The following is a 17,729-nucleotide window of genomic DNA, read 5'->3' as shown; positions in this document are numbered from 1 at the left end:
TAGAATCTCAAAATCATTTTTTGGCCTGCTGCTAGAAGAGATACTATGCTTCTACACCTGGCCAGTAGGATTATGGCATTTGAGGCAACAGTCCCGTATGATTGGAAGTGGTTGGTTATATTGTTTGGAAGAGGTGACCACCCAAAAGTCCCTTGTCTGTTGATGGCACCTTTTGAGGAAACTGTTCTGATTCATTATTAGGCTACCAGTCTGGCTGTTTAATTTTCAACAGTTCCAACAGCTGTTGTTATTCTGGAACCTAATACAAGAGCATTGTTTTGCTTTCTATCATTTTTGCCAAGATCATTAGTTAAAAACAAGCTTGTGGTAATAGATGATACATTGGTGCATGGTGGAGAAACAGCCCCATGGAAAGGGAGTCTTGCTCCTTGTCACTCTCCTGAGATGGGCTATAAAGAATGGAATGATCAAAGCTTAGAGCAAAGCAAGCCAGGGTGTCTGGCCCCATCCTCCTGGATTATATGTGAGGGGAGGCTTTGGTCTCCAGTTCTTGCCCTGGGCCCCACCCACCTTTCTGTCATTCATGTTTTGTTTCCTGTGTCTAATTTGTTGCATGATCTGTTAATAACCAAACATGCCCTCACAAGTTGGGAAATATTTGCAGAGTGATAAAGCAATTGTGTTATAATCTCCCACTTTCCAAGAGAGACGGGCGTCAGACCTGCACACTCTGAGAAGCATCCAGGCTTTGGAACCTACTGATTCTGTGTTTCATTTGATTCATTTGCATTGCTACCACCCTCATACAGGCCCCTGTCACCCCTTCCATCCAGCCAGCCAACTGGCAAGCCAGTCACCTGGCCAGTGTTGCACTGAATTTTTTTTTTATTTCAATTTTTCCTCTAGATTTGAGAGTACATGTGCAGGTTTGTTACAAGGGTATAGTGTGTGTTGCTGAGGTTTGGGTTTCAATTGAACTCATCACCCAGGTAGTGAACATAGTACCCAATAGGAAGCTTTTCAACCCTTGCCACCCTCCCGCATTTTGTAGTCCCCTGTGTCTGTTCTCATCCATGTGTACCCGTGTTTAGCTCCCACTCATAAGTGAGAACATGTGGTATTTGGTTTTCTACTTCTGTGTTCATTCACTTAAGATAATGGCCTCCAGCTACATCCATGTTGCTGTGAAGGACGTGATTTCATTGCTCTGTGGCCCCAGGCTGGAGTGCAGTGGTGCTATCACAGCTCACAGCAGCTTCGAACTCCTGGATTCAATCCATCCTCCCACCGCAGCCTTCTGAGTAGCTGGGACTACAGGTGCACACCACCACACCCAGCTAATATTTGTATTTTTTTGTAGAGGCAGGGTTTCACCGTGTTCTCCAGCCTAGTCTTGATTTCCTGGGTTCAAATGATCCTCCTGCCTCAGCCTCCCAAAGTGCTGGGATTACAGGTGTGAGTCACCACACCCAACCAATTTCATTCTTTTTTATGGCTGCATAGCATTCCATGGCATATATGTGCCACATTTTCTTTATGCAGTCCACTGTTAATGGGCATCTAGTTGATTCCATGTCTTTGCTATTATGAAGAATGCTGCAGTGAACATATGAGTTGCATATGTCTTTTGGTGGAATGATTTATTTTCTTTTGGGTATATATCCAGTAATAGGATTGCTGAGTTGAATGGTAGTTATATTTTTAGTTCTTTGAGAAGTCTCCAAACTGCTTTCCATGGTGGCTGAACTAATTTACACTCCCATCAACAGTATATAAGCATTCCCTTTTCCCCACAGCCGCGCTAACATCTGTTATTTTTTGACTTTTTAATAATAGCCATTTGGACTGGTGTCGGATGGTATCTCATTATAGCTTTGATTTGCATTTCTGTGATGATTAGCGATGTTGAGCATTTTTTTCATATGCTTTTTGGCCACTTGTATGTCTTCCTTTGAGAAGTGTCTGTTCATGGCCTTTGCCCACTTTTTAGTGGGGTTATTTGTTTTTTTTCTTGTTGATTTATTTAAGTTCCTTATAGATTCTGGATATTAGACCTTTGTCAGATGCAGAGTTTGCAAACATTTTCTCCCATTCTGTAGGTTGTCTGTTCACTCTGTTGATAGTTTCTTTTGTTGTGCAGAAGCTCCTTAGTTTAATTAGGCCCTACTTGTCAATTTTCATTTTTCTTGCAATTGCTCTTGAGGGCTTAGTCATAAATTCTTTTCCAAGGCTGACGTCCAGATGACTATTTCCTAGGTTTTCTTCTAGGATTTTTATAGTTTTAGGTCTTACATTTAAGTCTTTAATCCATCTTGAGTTAATTTTTGTATATAGTGATAAATAGGGGTCCAGTTTTAATCTTCTGCATATGGTTAGCTAGTTTTCTGAGCACTATTTATTGAATAGGGAGTTCTTTCCCCATTGTTATTTTTGTCGACTTTGTTGAAGATCAGTTGGTTGTAGGTGTGTGGCTTTATTTCTGGGTTTTCTCTTCTCTTCCATTGATCTATGTATCTGTTTTTGTACCAGTACCACATTGTTTTGGTTACTATAGCCTTGTAGTATAGTTTGAAGTAAGGTAATGTGATGCCTTCAGCTTTGTTCTTTTTGCTTAGGATTGCTTTGGCTATTTGGGCTTATTTTGGTTCCATATGAATTTTACAATAGTTTTTTCAAATTCTGTGAAAAATGATGTTGGCCATTTGATAAGAATAGCATTGAGTCTATAGATTGCTTTAGGCAGTATGGACATTTTAATGATATTGATTCTTCTGATTCAAGAGCATGGAATGTTTTTTCATTTGTTTGTGTCATCTATAATTTTGTTCAGCAATGTTTTGTAGTTCTTGTAGAGATATTTCACCTCCTTTGTTAGATGTATTCCTGGGTATTTGGGTGGGTGGACTGTTGTAAACGGGATTGCATTCTTGATTTGGCTCTTTCTGGGCACTAATTATGGAACAGACCCTGTGCTAGGCTGTGGGAATACCAAGATTAGCAAGTCTCCCACTTTATGTCTCTACCTTCTCTTTGATGTTGGTTCAACAAATGCCAAGCACATCCCATCCATGTAATGTCCCTGTTGCCTCAAACATGTCACTTGATCAGAAAACTTTGGCAACAATCTGTTCTGAAATAAAGTTCCAACTCCTGAGCCTGGCATTTAGATCTCCCCCATTGCACTACCCTGGCCTGGCAAACAGCCCATCTCTCACTCCTCCTGTGGCCAGGTAGACCTGCTCGCTGTCCCTAAACATGTCTCACTGGCTGCCTCCTCCTGTCTAATTCCACTCAACCTTCGGGGCCAACCAATGCTTACCTGCTTAGGAAAACCTGCTAAGACATGTTGCCTCCTGGTTTTGGGGCTTGGAGGCACCTATTATTGCACTTTTTCACTGGGTGCTTATCATGCTACCTTGTACCCTGGTCTTTCTCCATGGTTGTCTCACCTTCCCTATTGTCAAATTGCTGGGATTATTGCTTCATAGGTATCTTTCCTCTCTCCCATGATAGAATGCAGGGCTGACCTATGGAAGTTATCCATCAGTATCCCTAATGAAAACTGGGGGAGGCCAGGCGCGGTGGCTCACACCTGTAATCCCAGCACTTTGGGAGGCCGAGGCAGGTGGATCACGAGGTCAGGAGTTTGAGACCAGCCTGGCCAATATGGTTAAACCCCGTCTCTACTAAAAATACAAAAATTAGCCGGGCGTGGTGGTGCATGCCTGTAATCCCAGCTACTTGGGAGACTGAGGCAGAAGAATCGTTTGAACCCAGGAGGCAGAGGTTGCAGTGAGCCGAGATCACACCACTGCACTCCAGCCTGGGCGACAGAGCGAGACTCCATCTCAAAAGGAAAAAAAAAAAAAAAACTGGGGGAAAGTTGCACCTCCTTTATCAACTCTTCCTGACAGTTCCTTAGTTCTGCTGCTGAACTAGAGGAGGTCAGTATTTACCACTCTTAGACAAATACATGTTTTGTTGAATCCATTTTTTTTTTTCATTCAGATAGGCAATGGAGAGGGCAGGATAATGGAGAGTGTGAGAATAGGTGCTAGTTATCCTCTGCTTGCCCCCCACCCCCTCCCAGTGCCATTCTCTGCCCTGCTGTGGCCTGGGAGACCAACCTCAGTGGATTGTGTCAACTAGGCTCCTTTACTTTACCTTCCAGGTGTGGTTGGGTTTGGCCAGTAGGAGGCACCAGTAGGAGATCCAAGAATAGGCAGAAAGCAGGGAGCGTTAATCCCCCTGCTTCCTCTCAGCCTCATCAGTTTTCTGGCAACGGCTATCTTTTACAGCTACAGCTCCAGTCCTCCAGATGCATTGGGCTACAGTAACACTGTTCTGCCTTCTTGCCCTTCATACTTAGTCTCATACTTAGTCTCTGCATGCTGCACCATATATTGCTGGTTGCCTTAATCCTCCCCACACCTCTATAACTTGTTCATTTATTAAATTATTTTTATTTAAACTCTTTTGATCGTTCTCTATAGTATCTGAGAGTCAAGCTTAGCAGGCTTAGTTATCTGTCCCAATATACAACCCCACGAATTGATCTGTGTTATTTTCTTGAAAAGGGCATTTTGCTTTATTTGGGGCAGGGGGTTTGCATTCGGAGGAATTTATAATAAAAATTAGTCTCCTGGCCCCTTCCCTTCCTAACCCAGACCTACTGCTTGGAGGCACTTTTAACTCAATTTTATTTTATTTTAGTTTAGTTTATGGCATTTACCTCCATATTTTCAATAATGTGCTTTAATTTTACTCCTATTTTAGAAATTACTTGTTGACTTTCTGTTATGATAGATAACAACTTAACTCCCTTATACCATCCCTCTACCTCTCCTCCCCACATCCTCACAACAAAGTTGTATTATTATTTATAGTTCCTCTGCTTAGTTACCTTTATAAGTAAGATTCTTACTATCATATTTCTTGTTTCTTAACAACAGTACTTCCTGAGTCCCGGTGCAGTAAAATGGCAGTATTTGCGTTCTTACCTAATTTGCCTTCTACTTTCCAACTTCTGTCATCTCTGCTTTTACTTTTACATTGTTAAGATTGAAAACATTTACATTTTTATTTTGTAGCTGCCATTCAGTCTTTTATGCTTTATCTACAGGTTGATCTTAAAGGCTGAAAAACTAGCAGATAGGGCTTATGCTATTGTGATTGCATAAATGACAAGTTGCACATTGACAATCCACCATTGGACATACTTGTTTGATTTGCCTAGTGATTTTTTTTTAGGCTTACAGCCAACATTTAAAAATTGGTAGAGTTTTTTTTATAAAAGATTTAGAGTTTGGGGTTTTGTTTTAAAAATTGGAAGTTCTGGCACATATGGTCTGACTTCCCACATATAGTAACACTCTGCTGGAGTCTGTCCCCTTTAGAATAGGCATTCCTACTCTAGTTTGCCACAGTTCCTACCACTCGCAGTATATGCAAGTGTTCCAATACCTGACTTGCTCATTTATTTACTTACTTGCATGACGCTGAAGGCATTTAAGTGTGTGACCCTGATGCTTGATGTGTTATTCTCTTTGGAGCCAAGTAATATACTATGGATACTTTCTTTTACAGCTTTAATTTTTCCAAGACTTTCTCATTGCCTTTTTTTTAAAAACTTTGCTGTTATTATATCCTCATTTTTTTTCTCTCAAACTCTCTAGCCAGTTGGGTATTTTATATATCCCTTTCTCCCAGGGTCCTCTATTCTTCTCAAATTTGATTTCATTCTAGGTCTGCTACAGAGCTGTCACCTGAGATTTCCTCTACTACTTTACTAGATTGGTTCTACTGCTTCCTGGATCTCAAATGTTTTTTTCAGGGTGGGGTTTAGGGGGGTCTCAGGGTTGGGGCTGGTTAGTTCAGTTTCTCCAGAGAAGAAAATGCCTTTTTTTTTTTTTTTGGCTTGGAAGAATAGATAACCTGGCTGCCTCATGAGCCACCTATGAAGGGTGCAAATCTTCTGACTTCAGATTTTATAAAATTCCCCCCTTTTCAGCCTCCTATCTGATTCCTGCCCTCCGTTGTTCTGGCGTCTCTGAGTCATGAGCCTGTGGCCATTTTGCCAGGCTAATGGAATCTCATAATATTTGAGCGCTGGAGCTCAGGCTTCCTGTGCTTGCATCATCAGTTTCTAATCTTCCATATTCTGTCTGTTTTCCACAAAGTTGTCCCAATCTCTGTCCTGGGTAGCCCTCACCTGTTCCCTTTATTGTTGAAGTTATGCCTTTTAAAAAAAATTATTAGGCCAGGTGCGGTGGCTTACGCATGTAATTCCAGCACTTTGGGAGGCCGAGGCAGGTGGATCACCTGAGGTCAGGAGTTTAAGACAGCCTCGCCAACATGGCGAAATCCCATCTCTACTAAAAAATACAAAAATTAGCCGGACGTTGTGGCGGGCGCCTGTAATCCTTGCTACTCAGGAGGCTGAGGTAGGGAGAATTGCTTGAACCTGGGAGGAGGAGGAGGTAGCAGTGAGCCAAGATCATGCCACTGCACTCCAGCCTGGGCAAAAGAGCGAGACTCAGTCTCAAAAAAAAAAAAAAAAATTCTTTCACTTTTGTTTTGGTAGTGATGTGTTCAAATGGAGAGGGTATAAATGAATACAGTTAACGTATTCGTCTTTAATAGGTTGTGCTCAGAATTGATCTCAACCCTTCTTGAATCTGTTTAAATTGTTGTCCTATGTCAATGTAAGAGCCAATAGGCTAAACGCTCCACCACCTAAAGTAGGAACTTTTAATCCTAAATTTACCCCTTTAGGATTTAGGAAACCTGTCCTAAACCCTAAAGGAGTATATTTAGGATTAAAAGTTTGATTGAATAGACATATAATAATATAATATAATTTAGTTATGGCTGGGTGCGGTGGCTCATGCCTGTAATCCCAGTACTTTGGGAGGCCGCCAGGTGGATCATTTGAGGTCAGGAGTTCGAGGCCAGCCTGGCCAACATGGTGAAACCCCATCTCTACTAAAATACAAAAATTAGCTGGGCATAGTGATGGGTGTCTGTAATCCCAGCTATTCGGGAGGCTGAAGCAGAAGAATTGCTTGAACCCAGGAGGCAGAGGTTGCAGTGAGCTGAGATCACACCACTGCACTCCAGCCTGGGAGACAAAGTGAGACTCCATCTCAAAACAAAAACAAACAAAAAATAATAATGATATAATGTATTTAATATAATATATAGCATTATATTATTATATGTCTATTGAATGCACCATTTTTTTTTTTTTTTTTTGAAACACAGTCTCACTCTGTCACCCAGGCTGGAGTGCAGTGGCACAATCATGGCCTTGACCTCCCAGGCTCAAGCAATCCTTCCACCTCAGCCTCCCAGGTAGCTGGGACCACAGGCACACACCATCACACCCAGTTAATTTTTACATTTTTTTGTAGACATGGGGTTTCCCTATGTTGTTCAGCCTAGTTTCGAACTCCTGGGCTCAAGTGATCCTCCTGCCTCAGCCCCCCAAAATGCTGGGATCACAGGCATGAGCCAGTGTGCCAGGCTCATACTTTTTTTAACAATCAAATTAAAAGCTTGTATTGGTTAGGGCAACATTAGCTGCTGTAATCATCTCCCACATTTCAGGAGTTTAACATGAAGGAAGTTTATTTCTTGCCCTTGTAACAGTCAATGCAAGTGTTTCTGGTTGTAACTGGCTTTCCTCTACAAGGTAATTTAGGGATCTACATGCCTTGCCTCTGTCACTCTGCTATACTCTGGAGCATGCATCTTTAATGGGGGCAGTATCATGCCCAAGGGGGCAAAGATCTTGGAGGCTGAAAAATCTTACATTTTGATGCATAAATCACAAACATCTACATGGTACATAAACAGATATAGAGTATATCTGTGGTGTGAAAATGTCATGGAGGAAAGTAATTAGGGAAAAAAAATGTCTAAAAAGTCCCCTTAGGAGGGCAACAATGAAGAAAAGGTGGAGAAACACTGCCACAGGCCTATGAGGACTCTTCATTCAGGTGGAAGGGAAACAGAAGATGGAGAAGGCTCACCTGCTTCTTAACCACCTTGGCCCAAAAGCGATACAAGTTACTTGGCCCACATTTCATTGGAGAGAACTGGTCAGGGAGTTCCACCTTGCTGCAGGAGGAGATGGGAAATGTAGTCTCTGGCTGGCCACACTTCAGAGTACTTCTAAGTGAGGACTCTTAGCCAAAGAAGGGAGAGCATCTATTTTGGAGGATGGTTGGCCTCCCAATACAGGAATCAAACAATGTTGTCTTCAAGGACCAGGTACTACATATTTTGGGCTTGCAGCCATGGTCTCTATTGCAGCTACTGAACTCTGCTTGTTGCAGCTGAAAGCAGCCATAGATAATACTGAAATGAATGGGTGTGGCTATGTTCTAATAAAGCTTTATTTACATAAACAGGCAGCGGATTGGCCTTCAGGCTGTAGTTGTCCAGCCCCTGAGTATCCATTCTGGAGCCTTTCAGTTGTCCACATTACCTCTGCTTCTTGGGACCTAACCCACATTTCCTTTACTTCCAGTGCCTAACTAGAGCCTGGAGCTTCCTCTTAACTGAATGAAGGGTTCGTCTTGGCTGTTTCACTGAAAACAGTGGAATATGACCCTCCACCAAGTGAAGTGTAGAGATCCCAAGACTGTAGAAAAGAAAGAAATTTTGTCTATGTCAGTCCAATGTTAGCCCTCCCCACAGCCACCCTACATGGTAGGGGTAGAGTGCCTGGCACTCATTATTAAGTGCTCAGAAATTTCCTGTATTCAGTGTTGGGGGCTGGTTTAAAACTACTTGTATTCAGCGAAATAAGACCTTGGAGAATATGGACCTCTATTTCTTGTAGCGTTAGAGTGGATTATTATTCAATGGTTAAAACTAGTATTTACAAAGAGCTTTTTTTTTTTTTTGGAGACAGAGTCTCGCCCTGTTACTCAGACTAGAGTGTAGTGGGGTGATCTCGGCTTACTACAACCTCCACCTCCCAAGTTCAAGCGATTCTCCTGCCTCAGCCTCCCAAGTAGCTGGGATTACAGGCGCCTGCCACCACGCCCAGCTAATTTTTGTATTTTTAGTAGAGACGGGGTTTTGCCATGTTGGCCAGGCTGGTCTTGAACTCCTAACCTCAGGTGATCCGCCTGCCTCGGCCTCCTGAAGTGCTGGGATTACAGGTGTGAGCCACCGTGCCTAGCCTAGAACTTTTAACAACATGACAAAATGCTTATTTTATAAGCAGGATTCAAAATTATGTATACAATATAATCTCAACTATATCTTAAAAAGTTTAGCAAAAAAAAAAATAATTCTCAACAAGTGATGGAGTTTTTCTTCTTTTTATTTTGTATCTGTTTTCTAAAATTTTTACAGTGAACATGTTTTAGATGTGGAGAAGACTGTTATTTTAAAAATTATTGAGGTCTGGGAGCTCACGCTTGTAATCCCAGCACTTTAGGAGGCCAAGGCGGGAGGCTTGCTTGAGCCCAGGAGTTCAAGAGCAGCCTGGGCAACAAAATGAGACCCTGTCTCTATAAAAAATTTTTTAATTAGCCGGGGATAATGGTGCGCACCTGTAGTCCCAGCTTCTTGAGAGGTTGAGGTGGGAGGATTGCTTGAGCCTGGGAGGTTGAGGCTGCAGCAAGCCATGATCATGCCACTGCACTCCAGCCTGGGCAACAGAGCAAGACTCTGTCTCAAAACAAACAAACAAACAAACAAAAACTACTGAGGAGGAAATTAGTGCTGAGTGAGGGTATAATTACCCAACAGGTTCTTCCTTCCTCCTGCACAGACAAAACCAATTCACTGAGACCACAGTATTGTAGTAGACAAACAGTTTAAGGCAGAGCCAGCCAAGCAGAAAGACTGGAGTTATTACTCAAATTGGTCTCCCAGAGAACTCAGAGGCTAGGGTGTTCTACGGATAATTTTGTGGACAGGGGAATGGGAGCTGCTGATTGGTGAAGGTTGAAATCGTAGGGGTGTGGAAAATGGTCCTTGTGTGCTGAGTCAGCCTCTACATTAGGGGGCCACAGGACAGGTTGTCATGAGTCCCAGGTCCAGGTAGAGTCAGATGGTTGCCAGAATGCAAAAGTCTGAAAAGCATCTCAAAAGACCCATCTTAAGTTCTACAATAGTGATGTTATCTATAGGAGCAATTGGGGAAGTCACAAATCTTGTGACCTCTGGCCACATGACTCATGAGTAGCAAGGGATTATAAAAAGGCAAGCTGGGGGCGGTGGAGGGGAATGGCTGGTTATCCTTTAGCTACACCTACATGTTAGCAGAATTCAGGCCCCTCCCATAATCCTAATCTTGTGGCCTTTCATTACCAAGACAAAGGCGATTTTGGTCCCTGAGCAAGGAGGGGGTTCGTTTCAGGGAGGGACTGTTATCATCCTTGCTTCAAAGTTAAAACAATAAACTAAATTCCTCCCATGGTTAGCTTGGTCTACACCCAGGAATGAGGGAGGACAGCTGGCTTGTGAGGCTAGAGGCAAGATGGAGTCAGCCATGCTAGACTCCTGTCACTGTCATAATCTTTGCAAAGGTGGTTTCAAGAGTATTAATGAAGGTGTCTGCCTGCTTGTGCACACATAAGCAGGCACCTGAAAATGCCATCCAAAATTTTGTTAGAACAAAGTCACTATGAGGCAGTCCCCTTCATCTGTCCTCCCCAAGTTAGAAAAGCTTCTTTGGATAGTGACCAGGAAGGGTTCTGACCTGCCTCTACATTGAGGCATTTTTCTCATTTCTTAGTAATGAGACCCTCACCTAGATTTTCTTTCCACTGAGGCAGACCAGCCTCTCTGGATGAATCATCAAGATTAGCAATGCGGGGAGGAGGAGGTGCATGCTTGGGGTTAACTGCGTGCCAGAGTCATTGGTCATCACAGCCACTTCCCCAGACCCATGGACTTTCTTGACTTTGGCGGAGAAATTAAATAACTTGTGACTCGAAATGTCATTTGTGTAGACCCATTAGCCAGGCAGCCTGACGTCCAGGTGCCCCCACCCCCAGTGGAGCAGAGAACAACTCATTCTGCAGGAAGAACCAAATCTGAGATCATCCCAAAACAGCCTCTTATTTTTTAGGCCTCCCTTGGGTCCTCATGTGCATCTTCCAGGTACCGTGAGGGTAGGTGTGGGGGTCCTCTCCCCTGAAAGGAGAGCACCCCCACCCAAGTCCCTCCTCTTCAGCCTCTGCCTGTGTTTCTGCTGGTGATGTCCTTCTTGAGCCTTGAGCTGTCTGCACACTGGTCCCAACCTGTGCCTTCCACACTGCTCAGACTTGCAGCGTTCTCCAGCCCTCAGACACTTCACTATGACGTTAGGGGGTGGCAGTGGGTGGGGGGGGGGGTGGTGTTCCTCTCCCCAACCCTGACCCAGGGGCCCCACCTGGTCTCTTGAAGGATATCAGCTGCTAGAAGACAGCCCGATGGCCCCCCTTCATTTGACCTCCTTTGTCTCTACTCCAGGAGCTCCCTCTTAGCTCCAAGTTAGGTTAGGGTGACCTCGTCACAGCCTCTTTGCCTCTACCCCTGCTTCTGTGCTCTAAGCGCCGATCCTAGCGCCCTTCTCTTTCATCCCAATGTGCCATACTCTAGACCTGGATGTGCCACGTGTAAGGATCACACTCCAGCAGGCACGAGGCATTAGAAAGTCCTTGGCATGTGCTTCTGTGAGCACCCAGACTTCTTACTGTGACTTGTGAGGCCCTGCACCAGGGTTTGTCAACCTTAGTGCTATTGACATTTGGAGCTAGTGAATTCTGTCTTGAAAGGGACTGTCCTGCACATTGTAAGATGTTTAGCAGCATCTCTGCCCACCAGGTGCCAATAGCACTTCCCTAGTCGTGACACAGAAATGTTTCTAGACACTGCCAAATGTCCTCTGGAAGGCAAAATCACTCCAGGTGGAGACCACTACCCTACATAATGGAGACCCCGTCCTACCACGCTGCCTCATCCCACCCACTGCACACCTGCCACATGCACGCTCATCCCTGCCAGAGCCACTGCACTCGCTGTCACCACTGCTGTGAACGTTCTCTCCTCACATCTTCATGCTTTGCTCATTTAGGTCTCAGCTCAACTGACACCTCCTTACCTTGGCCTTTCCTAAGCACCCTATGCGACCAACCTATTCGCTCCATCAAGTTTATACTTCTGTTTTGTTTTAAAATCACGTTTAGAATCTCTGACCTTGTTCCTACTGCTTTCCTCCTGGTTTTCACTGTCCCAGCCACACCCTTCTAATTCCTCAGTCACATCCGGCATGTACCCACCACAGGGCTCTTGCTGTTCCTCCTCCTAGAATGCTCTTTCCCCAGATCTCATTGTTCTTATTCCTTCAGGCATTTGCTCAGATGTCACCTTCTCAGAGAGGGCTTCCCTGACTATTTCCTACTTTGTTTTTTCCCATAGCATCTACAGCCATCTAATACACTATACACTTTAATTATAATAATTTTTATTTTCTGTTTCTCCCTATTAAAATGAAATCTCCATGAGGGCAGGGAGTTTTGTCTTCTTTGTTCACTGTTGCGTGCCAGTCACGGAGAACAATGCCTAGCATTGAGGCACTCGGCCAGTATTTTTTTAGATGCATGAGCTTAATTTTGCAAGGCTTGCTGGGACCTCTGCCCTAGTTTAACTGTGCACATTTGAAAGCATCGGGTGAGCTTGGCTTCTTGTTGTAAAACCAGGGATTTATGTTGATGAAGAGTTCGATCAGGGTAGACTCATACTCTAAAGCATGTTTTCTTGTGAATAGAGATGTTTACAAAGCACAAAGCAGTGAATTTGCTAATAGTTCTTTTTACTGGCATCAGCTAGGGTTCTGAATTTAGCTGAAGCTTATACTTACCATGCCATGGTGGAGGTTTTCATTTCCTAATATGTACATGCATTTGTCTAAAAGTAATTAGTTTGTCTTCAGTTATGAGCCACAAGAGGTCAGGACCACCACTATGGCACCTCTCCAGAAAGGGGCGTGCCTGATAAGCACAAAAAAAAAACCCTTTAGGGCCGCACCTCCAGCTGTTCCCTGTTTCCCAGGATCTTGTTTATTTCTCATCTCTCCCGGCTTCCGGTCTCATTCCTTTGCTTTTTCTCTTAATAGGCTCTCATCCTTGTCTCAAAATCCCTGTCCTTACCTCCATGATCCATAAAGACCATGGCTCTCAGAAGGCAACGTAGAAGTGAGTCTGCAGCACCTCCCCGCTTGGAGCCCAGGAAGTCCTGAATATGACCAGGAGAGTTCCTGAGGCCCACATATCCTAACATGTTGAAATCCAAGGTCTTTCAAGGAAGCCCCACCACATATGCCTTCAGAGACCTGGCCAACCCTGCCAGCCTCCCCAATAGGTTCTCCCTCATATGGTCACATTGCCAGAAATCCCACTCCTGGGGCTCAGTGAAGGCCCTTGGGTCTTCAAGGGAATTCCTTGTTCTGGGGCCCACATCCCAGGAGAGTGCACAACTTGAGCACGTTTGCATCCCGGTAAGCGTTACTGGGAAGGCTCAGATTTACAGGTGACAGATGGAGAGGGACTCTTGGGAGAGTTAGGATGTTGCAGAGAAGACCCCTTTTCCAGCTTATGTAATCGCTCCAAGGAAAGAGAGAGAAACAGAGAGAGAGAGATGAGGCTTAGCAATTGAGTTCCTGGCTGCTTGTCATATGAAGAAAACTGATGTGAACGACACTTTCCTCCTCTGCTTCCTGCCCTGCTTTTTTGTTCTTTGTATCGTGAATAATATGAATACAGGAGCTTCATACTTAGAGTTATTTTTACAAGGTCTCCTCTCTGCTTCAGATGACTCAGAGCCGGAGCCTTCTCTTGAAGACGTTCCTTGGGAAGCACCAGAGAGATGCCGAACCCCAGGCGATCTCAGGGTCACAAGTGGGTGTCCTGGAAGTGTGGGCTGGAAGGAAAGCCTTATTGAAGGCAAAACTTCTGCTGGTTCCCCTCTCTACACAGCCAGCCCTGCCTTTCTCTCACCATCTTTTCCTGCTTCAGCAGAAACAATCAGGCCTGCTTCCCAGTCTGGAAATGAGCAGAGGGCACTGCCCCAGGGTCGAGGCTGCAAGCTATGGGTAGATGAGGGGAATCTGTAGGCCCCAAAAGGCTGGTGGCTCTAGTCTGAAGGCAAGAAAACTATTTGGGCAACCAGGCACTGAAGGAGAAGGAACATTGGTAGAACCTATTTCGTGTCTGTCTCCCACTCTGCCCTTGTGTTCCTGGAGAGTGGGGGCTGCCTCTGACTGTTCTTCCAAACACCACACCCGGCACTAAGACCCAGTGCATGTGTGTGGAGTCGATGAATTAATGAAAGGGAAGCCCCTTTCCATGGGTAAAGCCAAATTACCTGGATGTGAGTACAGCACAAATCCATATGCCCGTGGAGGATGGAGCATCTGTATCTGCTCCCGAAGGTGCAGATGCCCAGACCTCGGCACACCCAGCGCCAGCATTGTCTGCTTTGACCCATCATAACCACTCTGAGAGGCCAAGGAGGTTGTTTCCATTTTACAGAGGGGAATGCCGAGGATCAGAGAGATTGGCTGACATGCCTGTTGTGCGTTTTGTAAGCGGCACAGGGGGATTCTTCTGCCCCACTTCTACTGACTCCGTGATCCAGTGCTGCCTTGAATCTTCGGAAACTCTAAAGTAGGGGCTCCCCGCTTCTGAGAAAGACTCCGTAGCTCTCTTTTGGACACAGCTGCAGTGCCATCCTTCTGGGAGAGCCAGCCTGGAGCAGAACAGCTGGGGCTCATCTATCTGCTGCCCAACAAACCTTGGAAGGAGTATGATAGGAAGGTTCCATTCAGACTGCTCTTCTCTGGTGGCTCTGGGGAAAAGGGCATGATGAGGGGAGATGCCCTTTTTTCCTCCTGTTAATCTGCCCTCATCCCTGACTCCCTTTCCTGCTGTCTTCTATCCAACCACACAGTACCCAGCTTAAAACCAAGGTGGATGGAAAAGGTTTCAAGTTGATCATGGAACTCAGAATGCATTTTTCTGTAGAAGTAGCTGGAATGCGATGCCTGGTCTCCCCATGATATGTCTGAAATAAAAGAGTAATAGCATTGGCCCAATAGATAATTTGTATTAATGTTGATGGTTTAATTAATGAATTATTAATAAGCCAGCACCCTCTCTTACTTGGAAGACGACAACAGCTTTCTCCACTCTTGTCCTCTTGTAGTTTGTTCTCCACGTGAAAAGTGAATCAGACCCCATCTCTCCTCTGCTCACAACCCTCCATGATCTCTTTTTTTTTTTTTTTTTTTTTTTTTGAGACGGAGTCTTGCTCAGTTGCCCAGGCTGGAGTGCAGTGGCACGATCTTGGCTCACTGCAACCTCTGCCTCCCAGGTTCACGCCATTCTCCTGTCTCAGCCTCCCGAGTAGCTAGGACTACAGACGCCCGCCACAACGCCCGGCTAATTTTTTTTGTATTTTTAGTAGAGACGGGGTTTCATCATGTTAGCCAGGATGGTCTCGATCTCCTGACCTTGTGATCCACCCACCTCGGCCTCCCAAAGTGCTGGGATTACAGGAGTGAGCCACCGCGCCCGGCCCCTCCATGATCTCATGCCTACAGCCTGGCCTCCTGCCTTGCTGACCGCACCTGCCGGCTCCCTCCACCAAGTTCATTCCACCAAAGAGTGGAAGGACACAGCTGCTGTGTCCTCTGCCTGGGACTCTCTTCCTTCCCTGAGTCACCTGGTTCAGCCAGTTCATTTAGGCCTATGCCCAGATGTCACCTTTTCAGGTGACCATGAATAGGCGCCACCCATGTTCATCACTCCTCTGACCCTTACCCTGCTTTATTTCCCTTCATAACATTCATCATACCTGCCATGACATTGCACACATGCCTGCTTACTTGTATATTGTTATTCTCCTCCACTAGACTATCTGCTCCACAAAGGCAGGGACCTTTTATTTGTTTCCTGCTGTGTTTCCAACACTAGAAGAGTACCCAACATATAGTAGGTGCTCAATAAATATTTATAAATAAATAGATGAATGCACAACTGAATGAGTGATATATCTCTACACCTAACCAACAGCAGATTGTGGTTTACATGCAGAATTTATCACACATTCCAAACATCAACGCCAAAAAGGAATTTCTTCCTTGCCTTGCCCTTGGGATTGGAAATGCAGGCACTTCATTTTAGTAATGAGTTTATAGATTATTCTGGAAACCAGAACTTCTTGTTCTGCATTTTTGGCAAAAATAGACACCTGCTTTCTTGGAGAGTAGCTTCTCAGAGTTCTGAAGGCTTCTTGGGGCTTGACAAATGGTTGGGGGTGGGTACTCTTTGGCCTCCTTAGCCTCCTGCTACCAGTTCTGCTGAGACTGGCAGTGTTCTCTTGATTACACTAGAGCAGGGTTTCTCCTACTAACGTTTTAGACCAGATCGTCCTTTGCTGGGGGCTGTCCCATGCCTTCCAGGGTGTTTAGCAGCATCCGTGGCCTCTACCCATTAGATACTAGAAGAACTCCCCCAACTGTGACAACCAACAATGTCTCTGGACATTGCCAAGTATCCCTCGAGGAGTAAAATCACTCCCTGTTGAGAACTACTGCTCCACCATGTACAGAAAGCCCCACCAACAACAAAGAATTATCCAACCCACAGTGTCACAAATGCCAAGGTTGAGCTACGCTGCTCTGAGAGCCCTGTCCAATAGGACTCTGCATTGAGGGAAATGTTCTATTTGGTGCTGTCTAATATGGTAGCTACTAGCCACATGTGGCTATTGAGCATCTTAAAATGTGTAGGCCGGGGCGTGGTGGCTCATGCCTATACTCCTAGCACTTTGGGAGGCCGAGGCAGGAGGATTGCCTGAGCCCAGAAGTTAGAGGCTGCAGTGAGCTGTGAGCAAGCCACTGCACTCCAGCCTGGGTGACAGAGTGAGGCCCCGTTTCTTAAAAAAGAAAAGAAAAGTAGTTAGTGCAACTGAAAAGCTGAGTTAAGTTTAATTTTAGGCTGGGTGCGGGGGCTTATGCTTGTAATCCCAGCACTTTGGGAGGCAAGACAGGCAGATTGCTTCAGCCTAGGAGTTGGAGACTAGCCTGGGCAACATGGCAGAAACCTGTCTCTGCTAAAGGAGACCCCTGGTGGCGCATGTTTGTAGTCCCAGGTTGAGGCGGGAGGATCACTTGAGCCCAGGAGGTTGAGGCTGCAGTGAGCCCTGATCATGCCACTGCACTCCAGCCTGGGTGACAGAGTGAGACCCTGTCTCAATAAATAAAACAAAATAATAAAATAAAGTAAATTTTTAAGTTTATTTTATTTTAAATTAATATTCATTTAAATATCCACTTACGGCTAGTAGCTGCCATATTGGACAGCACAGCTCTACAAAGGCCAGTGCTGCTCACACTTCAATGTGCATATGAATTATCTGGGGATAGCAAAGTCCAATTCAGCAAACTTGAGGTGAGGACTGAGAGTCTGTAAATTCCCAGGGATGCTAAGGCTTCAGGTCTAAAGACCACACCTTGGAGTAAGATGATCTAAGCCTGGGACATAAAGAGCATTTTGCACATATAACACAGAGATGAGATTCCTGCTGCCTGAAAGAGCTTGTTGAAGAACCAGTGGCATAGAGTAGGGAGAGAGAAAAAATATGGTCTGTGGAGTCAGACAGATACTGATTTGAATCCATTGTTAGCTCTGTGCCCTTTACTTCGCCTCTCTGAGCCTCCATCTCCTTATCTATAAAATAAAAGAGATCATTTCTACCTT

General features: G+C 44.9%; 1 protein-coding gene across 52 annotated transcripts in view, besides 3 other annotated features; it reads left to right on the top strand.

Moving 5' to 3' along the window:
• The window catches only part of TRERF1 (transcriptional regulating factor 1), a 227,294-nt gene that overhangs the window by 125,197 nt on the left and 84,368 nt on the right, over positions 1-17,729 (top strand). The window lies entirely within an intron of this gene.
• Positions 10,289-10,378: an enhancer, noted in NCBI's record as "active region_24549". NCBI's record gives its function as "activates an Ori minimal core promoter by ATAC-STARR-seq in GM12878 lymphoblastoid cells {active_cell/tissue: GM12878}" and the evidence as "EXISTENCE:reporter gene assay evidence [ECO:0000049][PMID:35858748]".
• Positions 10,969-11,028: an enhancer, noted in NCBI's record as "active region_24548". NCBI's record gives its function as "activates an Ori minimal core promoter by ATAC-STARR-seq in GM12878 lymphoblastoid cells {active_cell/tissue: GM12878}" and the evidence as "EXISTENCE:reporter gene assay evidence [ECO:0000049][PMID:35858748]".
• Positions 11,097-11,764: an enhancer, noted in NCBI's record as "H3K27ac-H3K4me1 hESC enhancer chr6:42283002-42283669 (GRCh37/hg19 assembly coordinates)". NCBI's record gives its function as "activates a minimal SCP1, AML or CMV promoter by ChIP-STARR-seq in primed H9 embryonic stem cells {active_cell/tissue: H9 hESC(primed)}" and the evidence as "EXISTENCE:reporter gene assay evidence [ECO:0000049][PMID:30033119]".

The sequence above is a fragment of the Homo sapiens genome, chromosome 6 (genome assembly GCF_000001405.40).
Source record: "Homo sapiens chromosome 6, GRCh38.p14 Primary Assembly".
NCBI classification, from domain to species: domain Eukaryota; kingdom Metazoa; phylum Chordata; class Mammalia; order Primates; family Hominidae; genus Homo; species Homo sapiens.
The sequence above is the reverse complement of the archived record's forward strand: the minus strand, read 5'-3'. Positions and strand labels throughout refer to the sequence as shown.